Genomic DNA, 17,522 nt, shown 5'->3' with positions numbered 1-17,522 from the left:
ACAGGCGCCTGCCACCACACCTGGCTAAATTTTTTGTATTTTTAGTAGAGACAGGGTTTCACTGTGTTAGCCAGGATGGTCTCGATCTCCTGACCTCGTGACCCGCCCGCCACGGCCTCCCAAAGTGTTGGAATTACAAGTGTGAGCCACCGCACCCGGCCTTTTTTTTTTTTTTCATTTTTTTGTAAAGACAGGGTCTCACTATATTGCTCAGGCTGGTCTCGAACTCCTGGCCTCAAGACATCTTCCCGCCTCGGCCTCCCAAAGTCCTGGGGTTACGTGTGAGCCACTGTGTCAGCCACTGTGCCCGACCTGTCCACCCATCTGATCCCTTCTCTCTGGCCTCAGGAAAACAGCACCCTGGCAAACTCCTTCCCCCTTTCATGACTCTCCCAAGCACCTCCCTGAGCTGTCGGTTTCATACTTGGCTTCTTAGTCTTAGCAATAAATAGGATCAAGTTTCTTATGTCCTAAAAAAAAGAGTCTTCCTTCATCCCCATCTCCTCCTGAGGCCACCTCCTTACCCCGACCCCCTGCCATTGGGCCACCTCCTCAAGCCCTCCAGGGTATCCCGCTCCGTTCATCAGTGACCTCCCTGAGCCCAGCCCGATGACGTCTTCCCTCATGCCTCCCTGCCCTTGACCTGTTGCCTGGACCCACATGGCTGGCCAAGGCCTCCCTGGAATCTGCAATCTCCCGCACGGTCTCCTCTGACGTCTTGGACACTGACAGTCCTCTGCTTCCTGTGGTGGCTGCTCTTCTCCTCCCCAGCGTAGGCAGCTCTCAAGGGGTCCTCTCTCATCTCCTATTACACCCTGTCCCCAGATGCTCACTCCTGGGCTTCCAACCACCGTGGTCCAGGCTCTCCCTGCAGACTTGCACTTCTCTCCCTGCACCCTGGCTTCAACCACCTTGGTTGATTCTTTTTTTTTTTTTGGAGATGGAGTCTTGCTTTGTTGCCTAGGCTGGAGTGCAGCGACACAATCTCGGCTCACCGCAACCTCTGCCTACCAGGTTCAAGCAATTCTCCTGCCTCAGCCTCCCAAGTAGCTGGGATTACAGGCGCCTGCCACCACGCCCGGCTAATTTTCGTATTTTTTAGTAGAGATGGGGTTTCACTATGTTAACCAGGCTGGTCTCGAACTCCTGATCTCATGATCCACCCGCCTCGGCCCCCCAAAGTGCTGGGATTACAGGCATGAACCACCACACCCGGGCGGTTGATTCATTTGTCCCATCAACTCTCTGACATAGTTGTTGCTGCCCATTTGACAGATGAGGAAACTGAGGCTTAGAGAGGCTGAGCCACCACCCTATAGATGATCCAGGTCGCAGCTGGTCCCCTCGCCCTGCCAGAGTTGTTGACATGTGCCCTCACCCTGACGGGGTGAAAGAGAATTGCACACCAGTCGCTGACTCTCAAAATCCATTGTTCCCCCCACCACCCAACCCTGGCCTTGGCCTGGAGCCAAGCACCAGGGCAGAGCTGAGGCCCAGGGTGGCCCCTGATCTGGGCCGAGAAGCTGAGTAGCTGAGTCATCTCTGAGAAGAACATTCCCATCTTCAATCGCTGCGGCTGCCTGTTGTGGACGGCCCGGCTGACACGGGTAACTTGATCTGTTTACTCTGGGATTCCTAAGCCCACAGAGTGAGGCCCTCACACGGGGCCTCTCCCCGGGCATCCTGGGCGAGGAGCCCTGGCCCAGCCAGAGTCCCGTTCCAGCAACAGACCTGAAACCCCAAGGCAGAGGGGGAAGGAGGGTGCAGCAGGGGAGAGACACTTCCAGGTAAACTTGCCTGGCAAAACCTTTTCTGAGATGTCTGATTTATGAACCAGCTAAAGTAGCAGAGAGAAGAGAATTACAAGTGTTTTTTTTTTTTTTTTTAATCTGTGGCACAGTTTACCACCAGTTCACCAGCAAATAAGAAAGGGGGGTGCCAGGCACGGTGGCTCACACCTGCAATCCCAGCACTTTGGGAGGCAGAGGCGGGTGGATCACTTGAGACCAGGAGTTCGAGACCAGCCTGGGCAACATGGTGAAACCCTGTCTCTACTAAAAATACAAACATTAGCTGGGTGTGGTAGCAGGTGCCTGTAATCTCAGCTACTCCAGAGGCTGAAGCAGGAGAATCACTTGAACCCAGGAGGTGGATGTTGCAGTGAGCAGAGATCACACCACTGCACTCCAGCCTGGGTGACACAGTGAGACTCGCTCTCAAAAAAAAAAAAAAAAAAAAAAAGACAAAGGAGGACCTTCAGGGAACCACCCAGATGTAGAGGTGGGGCACGGAGAAGCCCAGAATCAAGTCTGGAAAGCTATTTTTGTTGCCTCCTCCAGTACTGGAATCCTGAACAGAGACTGGCCCAGCCTGCATTTGCATACACCTAGGGATGGGGAACTCACTTCTTTCTGGAGCAATTAATTCCATCCTGGGGGTAGATGACTTCTAGAAGCTCTATGTGCCTTCCTTTTTCTTTTTCTCTTTTTGAGATGGAGTCTTGCTCTGTTGCCAGGCTGGAGTGCAGTCACGCGATCTCTGCTCATGCAACATCCCCCTCCTGGGTTCACGCCATTCTCCTGCCTCAGCCTCCCGAGTAGCTGGGACTACAGGCGCGTGCCACCACACCCAGCTAATTTTTGTATTTTTTAGAAGAGATGGAGTTTCACCATGTTGGCCAGGATAGTCTTGATCTCTTGACCTCATGATCCACCTGCCTCGGCCTCCCAAAGTGCTGGGATTACAGGCCTGAGTCACCACACCTGGCCCTTTTCTGTTTTTTAAGAAACAGTGTCCCACTCTTTCCCCCAGGCTGGAGTGCAGTGGTGCGATCATAGCTCACTGCAGCCTTGCACTCCTGGGCTCAAGCAATCCTCCTGCCTCAGCCTCCCAAGTAGCTGGGACTACAAGCATGCACCACCATACCAGGCTGATTTAAAAAAATCTTGAGGCCGGGCACAGTGGCTCACGCCTGTAATCCCAGCACTTTGGGAGGCTGAGGTGGGCAGATCACGAGGTCAGGAGTTCGAGACTAGCCTGGCCAATGTGGTGAAACCCCGTCTCTACTAAAAATACAAAAAATAGCTGGGCATGGTGGCCTGCACCTGTAGTCCCAGCTACTCTGGAGGCTGAGGCAGAAGAATCGCTCGAACCCAGGAGGCAGAGGTTGCAGTGAGCCGAGATCATGCCACTGCACTCCAGCCTGGGTGACAGAGCAAGACTCCGTCTTAAAAAAAAAATCTTTTCGTGTAGAGACAGGGTCTCACGATGTTGCTCAGGCTGGTCTTGAATTCCTGGCCTCAAGCCATCCTCCCACCTTTGCCTCCCGAAGAGTTAGGATTACAGGATTGAGCCACCATACAGGGCCCTACAGTTCCTTGATTAGCATCTTAAGGGGAAAGACTTTTAGCATGGAATAGATCATCTTTAGACAAAAACCCAGGATCAGAGAAGGGATGGGATCTGCCAGAGGTCACACTTTGCACGAGACAGGACCAGAACTGGGAAGACCTTTCACCTCCAGCAGTGACCCATCCCCCTGAGCCCCACCCAGACTCTTCCTGGTGTCTACCTGCTGTGTGCCACTCGATTCACCATGCCCCCAGCCTGCCCTTCACCAAGCCCTCTTCGATTGACCCCTTGGGGACCTCAAATCCAGCCTTTTTCATCCCTGCTGTCATCTTCCAAGCCTCTTCCTGGGTCTCCTGAGACCCTGTCCATCCACGCTGCACAGTAGAGGCAAAGGCACTTCTCAAAGCACAAATGTGATGACCTCACTCCTTGGGTCAAGCACCTCCCATGGCTCCCACTGTCTCCACGATAATACCAAGGGCCCCAGGATGGCTTCCAGCTCCATGATTTGGGCTGTTTCTGTCCAGCCCCCATGTGACCACTGCTGGGCCCCTCCTCGTTCCTTAGTGTGCCATATCCTCCCCCGGGACCCTCATTCCACTCCCCAGCCTTCAGGTCTTAGGGTTGACACCTTCACGAACCATGCTCCACTACGTCCCCTCCTCAACACGACCCACACCTCCCCTCCAACCGTCAGTGCCTACTTAGGGAGGTGTCTGGCCATTAGATCACTGCTGAAGTTTACCAACTCCACCCTGGCCTGGGCTGCTGAGTGGGCAGAGACCAAGGAGGCTTTGTCACTGCTACCCCAGCTCCCAGTTCTGGGCGAGCCTTGTAGTATTTGCTGATTGACTCTGCACCTGTCTTGGGTGCCAGGGGCTGCTCCTGGCCTGGGGTGGGGTGGGTAGGGGCACTGGGGGCTGGACAGGAGGGTGGTGTGCCAGGCAGACAGGGCATCCCCTGCTCACTATGGAACCTTGGCCCACTCCTTGTCCCGGCTTCAGTTTCTCCAGCTGTACAGTGAGATGACTAGCGTGGGCAATCCCTGCAGTCCCTCCAGGGATCACGGTCCCATGCTTCCCTCATATCCAGTTATGGAGAATGTGATAAAGGCCACTGCGTCTCCCACTACCAGGCAGGCAGGGCACCTTCATGGGCTGAGGACCTACAGATGCTCACACCTTCCAGCTCGCCCAACTATAGTGTGGCTCGTGGTTAGGTGCGAGGGCATTTTCTTTTTCTTTTCCTTTTTTTTTTTTTTCCAGACAGGGTCTTGCTCTGTCACCCAGGCTGGAGTGCAATGGCACCAATCACAGTTCACTGCAGCCTCTAACTCCTGGGCTTACGTGATCCTCCTGCCCGAGTAGCTGGGACTACAGGTGCATGCCGCCACACCCAACTAATTTCTTATTTTATTTATGCTGGGACTATAGGCGTGTGCCACCACACCCAACTAATTTCTTATTTTATTATTTATTTCTGAGACTGGGTCTCACTCTGTCACCCAGGCTGGAGTACAGTGGCACGATCTCAGCTCCCTGCAACCTCTGCCTCCCGCATTCAAGTGATTCTCCTGCCTCAGCCTCCCGAGTAGCTGGGATTACAAGCACCCACCACCACACCTGGCTAATTTTTGTACTTTCAGTAGAGATGGGATTTTGCCATGTTGGCCAGGCTGGTCTCAAACTCCTGACCTCAAGCGATCCACCCGCCTTGGCCTCCCAAAGTGCTAGGATTATGGGCGTGAGCCACCGCACCTAGCCTAATTTTTTATTTTTTTGTAGAGACCAGGGTCTCACTATGTTGCACAAGCTGGTCCTGAACTCCTGGCTCAAGAGATCTTCCTGCCTTGGTCTGCCAAATTTGCTGGGATTACAGGTATAAGCCACTGCACCTAGCCAAAACATGTTTTTTTGTTGTTGTTGTTGTTTTTTGTTTTTGTTTTTTTTTTTTGAGATAGAGTCTCGCCATCCAGGCTGGAGTGCAGTGGCGCAATCTCGGCTCACTGCAAGCTCCACCTCCCGGGTTCACTCCATTCTCCTGCCTCAGCCTCCCGAGTAGCTGGGACTACAGGCAACCACTACCATGCCCGGCTAATTTTTTGTATTTTTAGTAGAGACGGGGTTTCACTGTGTTAGCCAGGATGGTCTCCATCTCCTGACCTTGTGATCTGCCCGCCTCGGCCTCCCAAAGTGCTGGGATGACAGGAGTGAGCCACCGCACCCGGCACCAAAACATGTTTTTAATGAGATAAAATCTGAGCTTGGGTCATGGTTTCTTATAGATGTGTATTTTTTTTTAACCCCAAACTCAGCGTTTACAATTGCGGCATAACTTACTATAACAAAATGTACAGATTTTCAGGTGGGCAATTAGATGACTTTTGGCAAGTGTATATCCCCCATTTAACCAGCACCCTGATAAGTATACTGGACATTCCCATCATTGCAGAAAGTGTTCCGTGCTCCTTTCCCAACAACTGGAGGCAGCCACTGCTCTAGTCTCTAGTGCCGTGGATTCACTGTGTCTGTTTTGTGCTTCAAATCCATGGAAACACACACATTATGTCCTATTTTCTGCCTGGTTTATTTTGCTCAATAAATTATTTTTGAGATTAATCCAGGCTGGGTGCAGTGATTCATACCCATACCCAACATTCTGGGAGGCTGGGGTGGGAGGATCGCTTGAAGTCGGGAGTTCAAGACCAGCCTGGGCAACATAGTGAGATCCCATCTCTACAGAAAAAAAAAAAAAAAATAGGCGGACACAGTGGTTAGTCTCAGCTACTCAGGTGGCTGAGTTGGGAGGATTGCTCGAGCCTGGGTGGTAGAGGCTGTGGTGAGCTATGATTGCGCCACTGCACTCCAGCCTGGGTGACAGAGCGAGACTCCATCTCAAAAACAAAACAAAAATTACCCAGGCATGGTGGCATGCTCCTGTAGTCCCAGCTATTTGGGAGGCTGAGGCAGGAGGACTGCTTGAGCCCAGGAGGTCCAGGCTGCAGTGAGCTATAACTGCACTACTGCATTCCAGCCTGGGCAAAGCAAGATCCTGTCTCAAAAAAAAAAAAAAGGCCAGGCGTGGTGGCTCACGCCTGTAATCCCAGCACTTTCGGAGGCCGAGATGGGCGAATCACGAGGTCAGGAGATTGAGACCATCCTGGCTAACACGGTGAAACCCCGTAAAATTTTGTAAAAATACAAAAAAATTAGCCGGGCATGGTGGCGGGCGCCTGTAGTCCCAGCTACTCAGGAGGCTGAGGCAGGAGAATGGCATGAACCTGGGAGGCGGAGCTTGCAGTGAGCCGAGATGGCGCCACTGCACTCCAGCCTGGGTGACAGAGCAAGACTCCGTCTCAAAAAAAAAAAAAAGAAAAATTCCCTCCAGTGTTATGGCTGAATGCCCTAATATTCTACAGTAATAGAAACACAGAATATCTTCTGCATTTTGAAATGCAATGTGGAATGAAAAAAAAAAAAAGCATGCCTCAGAAGATCGCAGGCTGCCAGGTATCTTTTCCATACATATAAATGGGATGAAAGCCTTTGCAAAAATCAAGGGAAAGATAAATGTAGGCAGACAGCAGTTACCATCACTGTCATGGTCGCTGTGGGGGGCAGTGTTATTCAAATGATAAACAAACATAAAGTAAAAGCAGGATCAATAAGTACGTCACGAACCAAAAATTCTGAGTCATCAAATTCTGCATGCCTGAGGTCCACCAAAAAAAAGGAGCGTGGGCCGGGTGCGGTGGCTCACGCCTGTAATCCCAGTAGTCTGGGAGGCCGAAGTGGGCAGAACAAGAGGTCAGGAAATCAAGACCATCCTGGCTAACATGGTGAAACCCTGTCTCTACTAAAAACATAAAAAATTAGCTGGGCGCAGTGGCAGGCACCTGTAGTCCCAGCTACCCGGGAGGCTGAGGCAGGAGAATGGCGTGAACCCGGGAGGCGGAGCTTGCAGTGAGCCAAGATCGCGCCACTGCACTCCAGCCTGGGCGACAGAGTGAGACTCAGTCTCAAAATAAATAAATAAATAAATAAGTCGGGTGTGGTGGCGGGCACTTGTAATCTCAGCTACTTGGGAGGGTGAGGCAGGAGAATTGCTTGACCCGGGAGGCAGAGATTGCAGTGATCCGAGATGGCACCACTGAACTCCAGCCTGGGTGACAGAACCAGACTCCGTCTCAAAAAAGAAAAAAAAAAGGAGTGACCCGTGACCATCGGCCATCTCTGGACACAGATGAGCAATGAGCAGTGAAAGCCAGAGGCCAAGAGTGAGAACAGTTTAATATCAATTTTTGTAAAATATTATTAAAAAAAAAAAAAGGCCAGGCGCAGTGACTCACACCTATAATCCCAGCACTTTGGGAGGCCAAAGCGGGTGTATCACTTGAGGTCAAGAGATCAAGACCAGCCTAGCCAACATGGTGAAACCCTGTCTCTACTAAAAATACAAAAATTGGCCAGCTGTGTGGTGCGTGTCTATAATCCCAGCTACTCAGGAGGCTGAGGTGGGAAAATTGCCTGAACCTGGGAGGTGGAGGTTGCAGTGAGCCGATATCACGCCACTGCACTCCAGCCTAGGTGCTCTGTCTCGAAAAAAAATAATTAAATTAAAAGAAAAAAAGAAAACCAGACAGAACCTTCTCACTGCTCAGTCTCTGTCTTCCCTAGCCACTGTGAGAGGGGCCTGACTCCCCACGGGGGTGATGAACAAGCCCTCGGGAGACCAGAGGCATGGCCTTCCTGGATCACACAAATTGCCTGAATTGGTCTCCCTTGGGCCACCTGTCCCTGCCCTCTGCGGGAGAAAGGCCCAGACTGCAGGAGAATCTGCCCTCCCAACAGATGTGTGTGTTTGAGCGACTTAAGAACCTTCCTTCTTCTATGGGAGGATTTAGGGATCCTGGCATCTTTTTTTTTTTTTTTTCTTTTTGAGACAGAATCTCACTCTGTTGCCCAGGCTGGAGGCGTGATCTTGGCTCACTGCAACCTCCACTTCCCAGGTTGAAGCAATTCTCCTGCCTCAGCCTCCCGAGTAGCTGAGATTACAGGCTCCCGCCACCAGGCCCGGATAATTTTTGTATTTTTAGTAGAGATGGGGTTTCACCATGTTGGCCAGGCTGGTCTTGAACTCCTGACCTCAAGTGATCTGCCCACCTTGGCCTCCCGAAGTGCTGAGATTACAGGTGTGAGCCACTGCGCCCGGCCGGTGCTGGCTTTAGACAACAAACACTCCTTGGTAGCATAAACACAGGGGAAGATCCTAATGGTTGAATTTTTTTGTTGTTATTTAAAGTCAAGGTCTCGCTCTGTCGCCCACGGTGGAGTGCACTGCCAGCCTCAAACTCCTGGGCTCAAGAGATTCTCCCACCTTGCCCTCCAGAGTAGCTGGGACTACAGGCGTGTGCCACCACACCTGGCTAATTTTTAAAAATTTAAAAAATTTTATCAAGATGGGGGTCTTACTACATTGTTCAGGCTGGTTTCCAACTCCTGACCTCAAGTGATCCTCCCTCCTTGGCCTCCCAAAGTGCTGGGATGACAGGCGTGAGCCACTGCACCTGGCCAAACCATTTGTTTTTCATGGGATATTCCAGACATACGTGGTGTGCAGGGCAGGGCCTGCAGTATAGGTAGGAGCTGTGCTGTCTTAAAATCACCACCTTCTCCCAGACCCACATTTTCGGAAGGGGGCGTAAGGGGCAGGTGATCAGAAGCACCACAGGCAGTATCTGAGCTCAGTGCATGGCCCTTGGGGCTCTAGATATGGGAACCTTCTGCAACACTGAGACCTGCAGCCATGTTCTTTTTTTTTCTTTTCTTTTCTTTTTTTTTTTTTTTGAGACAGAGTCTCCCTCTGTTGCCCAGGCTGGAGTGCAGTGGCACGATCTTGGCTCACCATAACCTCCACCTCCCGGCTTCAAGTAATTCTCTGCCTCAGCCTCCCGAGTAGCTGGGATTACAGGCACCCGTCACCACACCTGGCTAATTCTTTTTTTGTATTTTTAGTAGAGACAGGGTTTCACCATCTTGGCCAGGCTGGTCTTGAACTCCTGACCTTGTGATCCACCCCCCACAGGCATGTTCTAAAGACAGTATCCAGCTGGGTGTGGCAGCTTACGCCTGTCATCCCAGCACTTTGGAAGGCCAAGGAGGGCTGATCACTTGAGGTCAGGAGTTCAAGACCAGCCTGGCCAACGTGGCGAAACCCCATCTCTACTAAAAATACAAAAAAATTAGCTGGGTTTGGTGGTGCGCGCCTGTAGTTGCAGCTACTTGGGAGGCTAAGGCAGGAGAATCGCTTGAACCGGGAAGGTGGAGGTTGCAGTGAGCCGAGATAATGCCACTGCCCTCCAGCCTGGGCAACAGAGTGAGACTCTGTCTCAAAAAAATCCAAATAAATAAAGGTGGAATCCGTGTCTCAGTGAGCATCTGCTGAAGGAGTAAATGGAAAGCTGAAATTGGCTAAAATGATTTAAGGAAAAAAGAGCTATCCAGGTATCCATCTGGAGCAACCACCTCTGGTAGATGCGGTGCTGGGCTTGGTCTGTCCGTGATGCCATCTAACCCTCAGGCCACCCTAAGGAAGGTTCTGCCATGCCCCTCTGCAGACGGGACACTGAGGCCTGGGGGGTAATGGAACATGCTCACTGTCACAGTTAGTGAGGGCAGAGCTGGGATGAGAGGATCAGGGCAGAACTGAGATCCCCTCACAATGATTCTTTTTTTTTTTTTTTTTTTTTTTGAGCCAGGCTGTTTCTCAATCTTTGGCCCCTAGGCTGGAGTGCATGATTACTGGCATGATTACTGCAGCCTCAACCTCCCAGGCTCAAGTGATCCTCCCACCTAAGCCTCCAGAATAGTTGGCACTACAGGCAGGAATCACCATGCCCAGCTACTTGTATATTTTTTTGTAGAGATGGGGGTCTCACTATGTTGCCCAGGCTGGTCTCGAGCTTCTAAGCCCAAGCAACTCCATCACTTCAGCCTCCCAAAATGCTGAGTGTGAGCCATTGTCCCCAACCCCCTGACAGTGACTCTTGAAAGGGGCTCAACTTTTACTTCTGTGGGAGCCCCGAGGACCAGAACCAGACCTGCCCTGAGAAGGGGCTAGACCTCCCATATTTCAGAGCCTCACTGGCCCACCCTGCATAGAGAGAGGAGTGGCACAGTCTAGAGTGGTTCTTTTTTATTGAGACAGGGTCTCACTCTGTCACCCAGGATGGAGTGCTGTGGCTCAATCTCAGCTCACTGCAATCTCCACCTCTTGGGTTCAAATGATTCTTATGTCTCAGCCTCCTGAGTAGCTGGGATTACAGGTGTGCACCATCACACCCAGCTAATTTTTGTATTTTTAGTAGAGATGGGGTTTCTACTAACCCCATTGGCCAGGCTGGTCTTGAACTCCTGACCTCAGGTGATCTGACTGCCTCGGCCTCCCAAAGGGCTGGGATTACAGGTGTGAGCCACTGTGCCCAAGTGGCTCTTAAATCAGACTTCTGAGTCCAAAGCTAGCTTCTTTGACTAAGTCATACAGATGGCTTTGGGCAGGTTCCTCACCCTCTGGGGCCTCGGTTTCCTTATCTGAGACATGGGGGAGGTCACATACCCACCTGAGTTGATAATGCATCCAAAGGGCATGGCGGTGGGCCTGGCCCATAGGAACCTGAGTCAAGGGGAGCCTCACTGTCATCTTCATCAACAGCAGTGAGAGGAGCAGGAAGGGAGGTGTTGGCTCCTGGGTCCCTGGGGCCCTTCCTCCAGGGACCCACCATCAGAGGGTGCCCTCCCAAAGGTGGGGAGATGGCAGCTGGCCTGTTGTTCTGTATCACCCAGCATTTCAACTCTCCCAGGCAACCATGGTTGGCAGGTCCCAATTTCTACTGAGAGCACCCCATGTAGGTCACATGGCGAGGGTCCCACACCCCAGCCTCACCACTTCCAACGAGCCAAACGCTTCCCATTTCCAGCCCGACGATGGTACTAACTTCCCTGCCCCTCCTTGGAGATCCCCAACCCCAAATAACCTCTCCTGATCTCCAGGGTCTCTTGGTGACAATACCTGCCTGCCTGCCTTAGCTAAGGGGGTCAGTTGCTTCTATCAGTCTCAATGCCCCAGAAACTGAGCGAAAACCCAAGTATTCATGGCCTACTGAACGCAAAGTCTGAGTCTGACCCTGGTATTCTATTCCTTGGTTTTTAGAATGCCCCCAGACAAAGATGAGGGCTGAAGGCTCAGAAAGGCCGGGTCAGGCCAGGTGAGGTGGCTCACGTCTGAAATCACAGCACTTTTGGAGGCCGAGGCAGGATCGTTTGAGGCCAGGAGTTTGAGGCCAGCCTGGGCAACAAAGTGAAACCCTGTCTCTACAAAATATTGTAAAAATTAGCCAGGTGTGGTGGCACACACCTGCGGCCCCAGCTATTCAGGAGGCTGAGGCGGGAGGAACCCTTGAGTCCAGGAGCTGCAGTGAGCTATGATTTTGCCACTGAACTCTGGCCTGGGTGACCGAGCGAGACCCTGTCTTCAAAAGAAAACAAGAAAGGTAGGGTGACCTGCCTGGGAATATGTGGTAGGAACAGCAGAGTGGAGAGAGAGCGCTTGATAAGGTGTCTTGTTGGGAGACATTCCCCACACCATGGTGCCATGGGAATCACATAAGCAGGTCAAGTGTGCCTCACTCAAGCACTCAAGAACCAAGCTTGCAGAGGGGGTCAGGGCAGGAGATGCACACGACTCACAGCCAACCCCACACTCTGGACCTGGGGCACCTGCTAAGCACTTTCTCTGTAAGATCTCACTTCAACCTCCCGTGAACAGCCCTATAACGTGGGTGCTATCACCTTCTTCATTCTTCTACAGAAACTGACAAACGCAGTTAAACCAGGCTAATTTGGACTGACGGGCTGGGTGGGGACGTCATCAGAGAGAAGCTGCAGGAGGGAAATTGTAGACTAGAACAAAGTCTGAAGAGGGTGGAGAAAAGCACAGATTAAAAAAAAAAGAAGAAGAAAGAAATGTGGCCGGGCATAGTGGCTCACGCCTGTAATCCCAGCACTTTGGGAGGCTGAGGCAGGTTGATCACCCAAGGTCAGGAGTTTGAGACCAGCCTGGCCAACATGGCGAAACCCTGTCTCTACTAAAAACGCCAAAATTAGCTGAGTGTGGTGGTGCACACCTGTAATCCCAGCTACTCGGGAGGCTGAGGCAGGAGAATCGCTCAAACCCAGGAGTCAAGAGTTTGCAGTGAGCTGAGATTGCGCCACTGCACTCCAGCCTGGGCGGCAGGGTGAGACTCTGTCCCCGCCACCAAAAAAAAAAAAAAAAAAAAATGCGTTTTACTGCCTGCAAGCTCGAGTTCTCCCTCCAGCACCCTACCCACCAGGGCTCCTCAGAGGCCTGGCTTGAGGAATGGATACGGTAGCCTTGTCATCTGCAGGTGACACCAGGCCTGCAGCTTGTTCTCTGAGGTGTCACCCCCTTATTCTTTTTTTTTTTGAGACAGAGTCTCACTCTGTTGCCCAGGCTGGAGTGCAGTGGTGTGATCTCTGCTCACTGCAACCTCCGCTTCCCGGGTTCAAGCAATTCTCCTGCCTCAGCCTCCCGAGTAGCTGGGACTACAGGCATGCACCACCACACCCGGCTAATTTTGTATTTTTAGTAGAGACAGGGTTTTACCATATTAGCCAGGCTGGTCTTGAACTCCTGACTTTGTGATCCGCCTGCCTCAGCCTCCCAAAGTGCTGGGATTACAGGCGTGAGCCACCACGCCCAGCCCATACACCCCCTCATTCTTGACTGTGCTGCTCTAGTGGACGAAACAGCCCCAAAGCATTGCTCAGTTGGGAGGGGGTGGAGGGAGTCCAGCCTGGGTGTGTGCAAAGGAGTCACCCAGGAAATTCACCGCGAGATCTGCCCTTACAGATGCACTCGCCTGGGGCCAAGCCCTGGGTGGCTGGGGCAGGTTACCCAGAGGCCCAGGGGCCAAATGCAGGAGCAAGTTCCCATCAGGAAAGGGGAAGAGTGAAGCAGAGATCCAGCTCCTGCATGCAGGGGAGTGGGCACGGGCAACCCCTTACCCCAGGGTCGTTCCCCAGCCTCACCTCTAAGGCAATGAAGGAGGGTAGAGTCTGAGGGCGCCCCTGACACCTCCACCTGTCCCCATCCCCTATCAGCGTTCCACATTCCAGTGCAGGCCCAAAATTCTAACCCCAAAGAAGAAGTGTGGTGGGGTACGCTTCTTCCCACTTTTTTTTTTTTTTCTTGAGACTGGGTCTCACTTTGTCAACCAGGCTAGAGTGCAATGGTGTGAGCATAGCTCACTGCAGCCTCCAACTCCTGGGCTCCAGTGATCCTCCTGTCTCAGCCTCCAGAGTAGCTGGGGCTACAGGTGTGCACTACCACGTCTGGCTAATTTTTAAAATTTCTTGTAGAGACGGGGTCTGGCTATGTTGCCCCAAATGGTCTTGAATTCCTGGCCTCAAGCGATCCTCTTGCCTCCACCTCCCAAAGTGCTGGGATTATAGGCGTGAGCCACCGCACCGGGCCTTGATTTCACATTTGAACTCTCCCACATTAAAAAAAAAAAATTATTAAAAAAAAAATAGGCCCGGCATGGTAGCTCATACTTGTAATCCCAGCACTTTAGGAGGCCAAGGTAGGAGAATTGTCTGAGCCCAGGAGTTCAAGACCAGCCTGGGGAACATGGTAAAACCCCAACAGGATGGATTTGATTCCTATACAAATTGAAGCTGCCCTGCCAAGGAGGGCCTGCCTGGAGGGGATGAGACCTTCGTCCTGAGGCCTCAGGGTCAGGGGATCAGGAGTCGGGGAGCTAGAATAGAAGCAGACAGCCTGGGCACGGTGGCTCACGCCTGTAATCCCAGCACTTTGGGAGGCCGAGGCGGGTGGATCACCTGAGGTTAGGAGTTCGAGACCAGCCTGGCCAACATGGTGAAACCCTGACTCTACTGAAAATATAAAAATTAGCCAGGCATGGTGGTGTACCCCTGTAGTCCCAGGGAGGACTGAGGCAGGAGAATCACTTGAACACGGGAGGCGGAGGTTGCAGTGAGCCAAGATTGCGCCATTGCACTCCAGCAGCCGGGATGACAGAGCAAGACTCTGTCTCAAAAAAAAAGAAAAAGAGGACAAGACATGGCGGTCAGCGTGCAGAGGAGGTGCGACTGGAGAAAGACTGGGGGTCACGTGGGCAGGACCTGGGTGGGCTGGGTGGGAAGGGGGCTGGATGTGGTGCTGTGCACCAGGGAGGGGACACAGAAGCAGGGGGCAGTCTGGGAGGAAGACTTGCAAGCACCATATGGGGACACAGTAGACACCCAGAGTGTCCAGGCACCCTGCAGGCAGAGCTGGTGTGCAGGGCAGAGAAGGGTGCCCAAGACATTGCTGGGAGCAGAGAAGTCACACCTTCCTCAAGGCCGGCTGGAGGACGCAACGGCTCTTTGTGTTCCAAGAAGCAGCTCTTACCAGGGGGCTGCCTGCCTGGCCCCCAGAGTTTCTCCAGTCTCCTTACTATAGACCCCTCCCCTCCTGCCAGCCTCCCGCATCCCCACAGCTCAGCCAATCTGAAACAAATAAACAGCTTCCCTTCCTCCAATAAAAACCAGCCATCCTGCAATTGTCAGATGTGCTCTTCCAGTGCTTCCAAAGCAGAACAGACCATCTGTGCCATGGGGACAGAGGCCACCACTGCCACCTCGCCGAGGCTTGCATCAAGTAGAGGGCACCTCAAAACATCCATTGAATTTCTGTGAATAATAGGTTCACTATGTAATCAACACCTCACTAAGTCCCTAACATAAAATTCCCCATTTAATTCTCACAACCACCCAAGATGTTGATAGTGTTATCTCCAGTTATTTTTTGGTAGAGATGGGGTCTCACTATGCTGTCCAGGCTGATCTCAAACTCCTGAGCTCAGGCAATCCTCCCGCTTCGACCTGCCAAAGTGATGGGATTACAAGTGTGAGCCACCATGCTTCACCTTATCCCTATTTTAAAGATGAAACCAGGCCACGGTGTGGTGGCTTACGCCTATAATTCTACCACGTTGGAAGGTCAAGGCAGGAGAATTGTCTGAGCTCAAGAGTTTGAGACTGGCCTGGGCAACATAGTAAGACCCTGTTGCTACTAAAAATCTTTTTTAAAAATTAGCTGGGCATGACGGTGCACACCTGTAGTCCCAGCTACTTGGAAGGCTGAGGCAGGAGGATTGCTTATGCCTGGAAGGTTGAGGCTGCAGTGAGCTATGCTCATGCCACTGCACTCTAGCATAGATAACAGAGCCAGACCCTCCTTGGAGGTTCTAAGTTGCCCAAGATCACATGGCTGGTGGGTTGTGGGAATTTGGATAAAAACACATTTTCCTGTTATGTGCATATCCTGAGAAATGACCCTTGGCATAAGCTTTTCCATCTTGGGTTAACAGTGGAAAGGAGTGGAGGGCATAGGCGGCGAGGAGTTCGGAGTGGGGGGGCCAAGGCTGACCCCCAAACTGCTGTTGTCCACTGTGTGACTTGGGGGCAGACAGCTCCTTCCTGTAGAGCTGCTATGAGGGTGAATGATGGGAACTCCCAGCGGAGGCCTCATGCATAGTGGGTGTTCAAGAAGGATCTGCCATGGCCGGGAGCAGCGGCTCACGCGTATGATCTCAGCCCTTTGGGAGGCCGAGGCAGGCGAATCACCTGAGGTCAGGAGTTTGAGACCAGCCTGGCCTACATGGTGAAACCCCATCTCTACTAAAAAATACAAAAATTAGCTGGGTGTGGTGGCACATGCCTGTAGTCCCAGCTACTCGGGAGGCTGAGGCAGGAGGATCACTTGAACCCAGGTGGCAGAGGCTGTACTGAGCCGAGATTGCACTGCACTCCAGCCTGGGCAATAGAGTAAGACTCCGTCTCAAAAAAAAAAAAAAAAAAAATATGGGAACATCAGACACTGGGGATTCCAATAGAGGGGAGGTTGGGAAGGGGAGGAAGGTTAAAAAAATTACTTATCGGGTACAATGTTCACTATTTGGGTAATGGGCGTACTAGAGGCCCAGTCCCTACCAGTATGCCATATATCCATGTAACAAACATCCACATGTACCTCTTGAATCTAAAATAAAATAAAATCTTAAACATTAATTTTTATTTTTATTTTTTTGAGACAAGGTCTGGCTCTACTGCCTGGCTGGAGTACGGTGGCACAATCTCGGCTCACTGCAGCCTCTACCTCCCGGGGTCAAGCGATCCTTCCACCTCAGCCTCCTGAGTAGCTAAGACCACAGGTGCACGCCACTATGCCCAGCTACATTTTGTATATTTTGTAGAGATGAGGTTTCACCATGTTGCCCAGGCTGGTCTCCGACTTGTGAGCTCAACCAATCTACTCACCTCAGCCTCCCAAAGTGCTGGGATTACAGGCATGAGCCACCACACCTGGCCTCAAATTTTATTAATTGTGGTAAAATACACACAACAAAACCTACCATCTTAACTATCTTTAAGTGTGCAATTCAATCGTGTTAAGCACATTTTCAATACGGACAGCAATTGCCACCATCCATCTCTAGAACTCTTCATCTTACCCAACAGGAACTCCATACCCACTAAACACCAACTCCCCAGCTCTTGGCAACCACCATTCTTTCTGTCTCTATGACTCCGGCTACACCAGGTATTTCATACAAGTGGGATCTCATGCAGTATTTGTTCTTTTGTGACTAGTTTATTTCACTCAGCATGATGTCTTCAAGGTTCATTCATGTTGTAGCATGTGTCAGAATTTCCTTCCTTTTCCCCCCTGAATAATATTCCTTTGTGTGAATACATCCCACTTTGTTGATCTGTTCATCCATCAGTAGACACCTGGGTCACTTCCATCTTTAGGCCTTAGTGAATAAGGTTGCTGTAAATGTGGGTGCATGGCCAGGCGCGGTGGCTCATGCCTGTTATCCCAGCACTCTGGGAGGCCGAGGCTGGTGGATCACTTGAGGTCAGGAGTTCAAGACCAGCCTGGGCAACATGATGAAACCCCGTCTCTACTAAAAATGCAAAAATTAGCCAGGCGTGGTGGCGTGCACATGTAATCCCAGCTACTCGGGAGGCTGAGGGACCAGAATTGCTTGAACCCAGGAGATGGAAGTTGCAATGAGCCAAGATCGC

The 17,522-nt window shown here is 51.7% G+C and overlaps 1 protein-coding gene across 1 annotated transcript in view, besides 2 other annotated features; it reads right to left on the bottom strand.

Annotated features, from left to right (window-relative positions):
* CASTOR2 (cytosolic arginine sensor for mTORC1 subunit 2) overlaps window positions 1-17,522 on the bottom strand; it is a 66,824-nt gene that overhangs the window by 35,842 nt on the left and 13,460 nt on the right. The gene's annotated exons all lie outside the window — the stretch shown is intronic.
* Window positions 403-908: an enhancer, noted in NCBI's record as "H3K27ac-H3K4me1 hESC enhancer chr7:74836976-74837481 (GRCh37/hg19 assembly coordinates)". NCBI's record gives its function as "activates a minimal SCP1, AML or CMV promoter by ChIP-STARR-seq in naive H9 embryonic stem cells {active_cell/tissue: H9 hESC(naive)}" and the evidence as "EXISTENCE:reporter gene assay evidence [ECO:0000049][PMID:30033119]".
* Window positions 1,101-1,721: an enhancer, noted in NCBI's record as "H3K27ac-H3K4me1 hESC enhancer chr7:74408133-74408753 (GRCh37/hg19 assembly coordinates)". NCBI's record gives its function as "activates a minimal SCP1, AML or CMV promoter by ChIP-STARR-seq in naive H9 embryonic stem cells {active_cell/tissue: H9 hESC(naive)}" and the evidence as "EXISTENCE:reporter gene assay evidence [ECO:0000049][PMID:30033119]".

The sequence above is a fragment of the Homo sapiens genome, chromosome 7 (genome assembly GCF_000001405.40).
Source record: "Homo sapiens chromosome 7, GRCh38.p14 Primary Assembly".
In the NCBI taxonomy this organism is placed as follows: domain Eukaryota; kingdom Metazoa; phylum Chordata; class Mammalia; order Primates; family Hominidae; genus Homo; species Homo sapiens.
The sequence above is the reverse complement of the archived record's forward strand: the minus strand, read 5'-3'. Positions and strand labels throughout refer to the sequence as shown.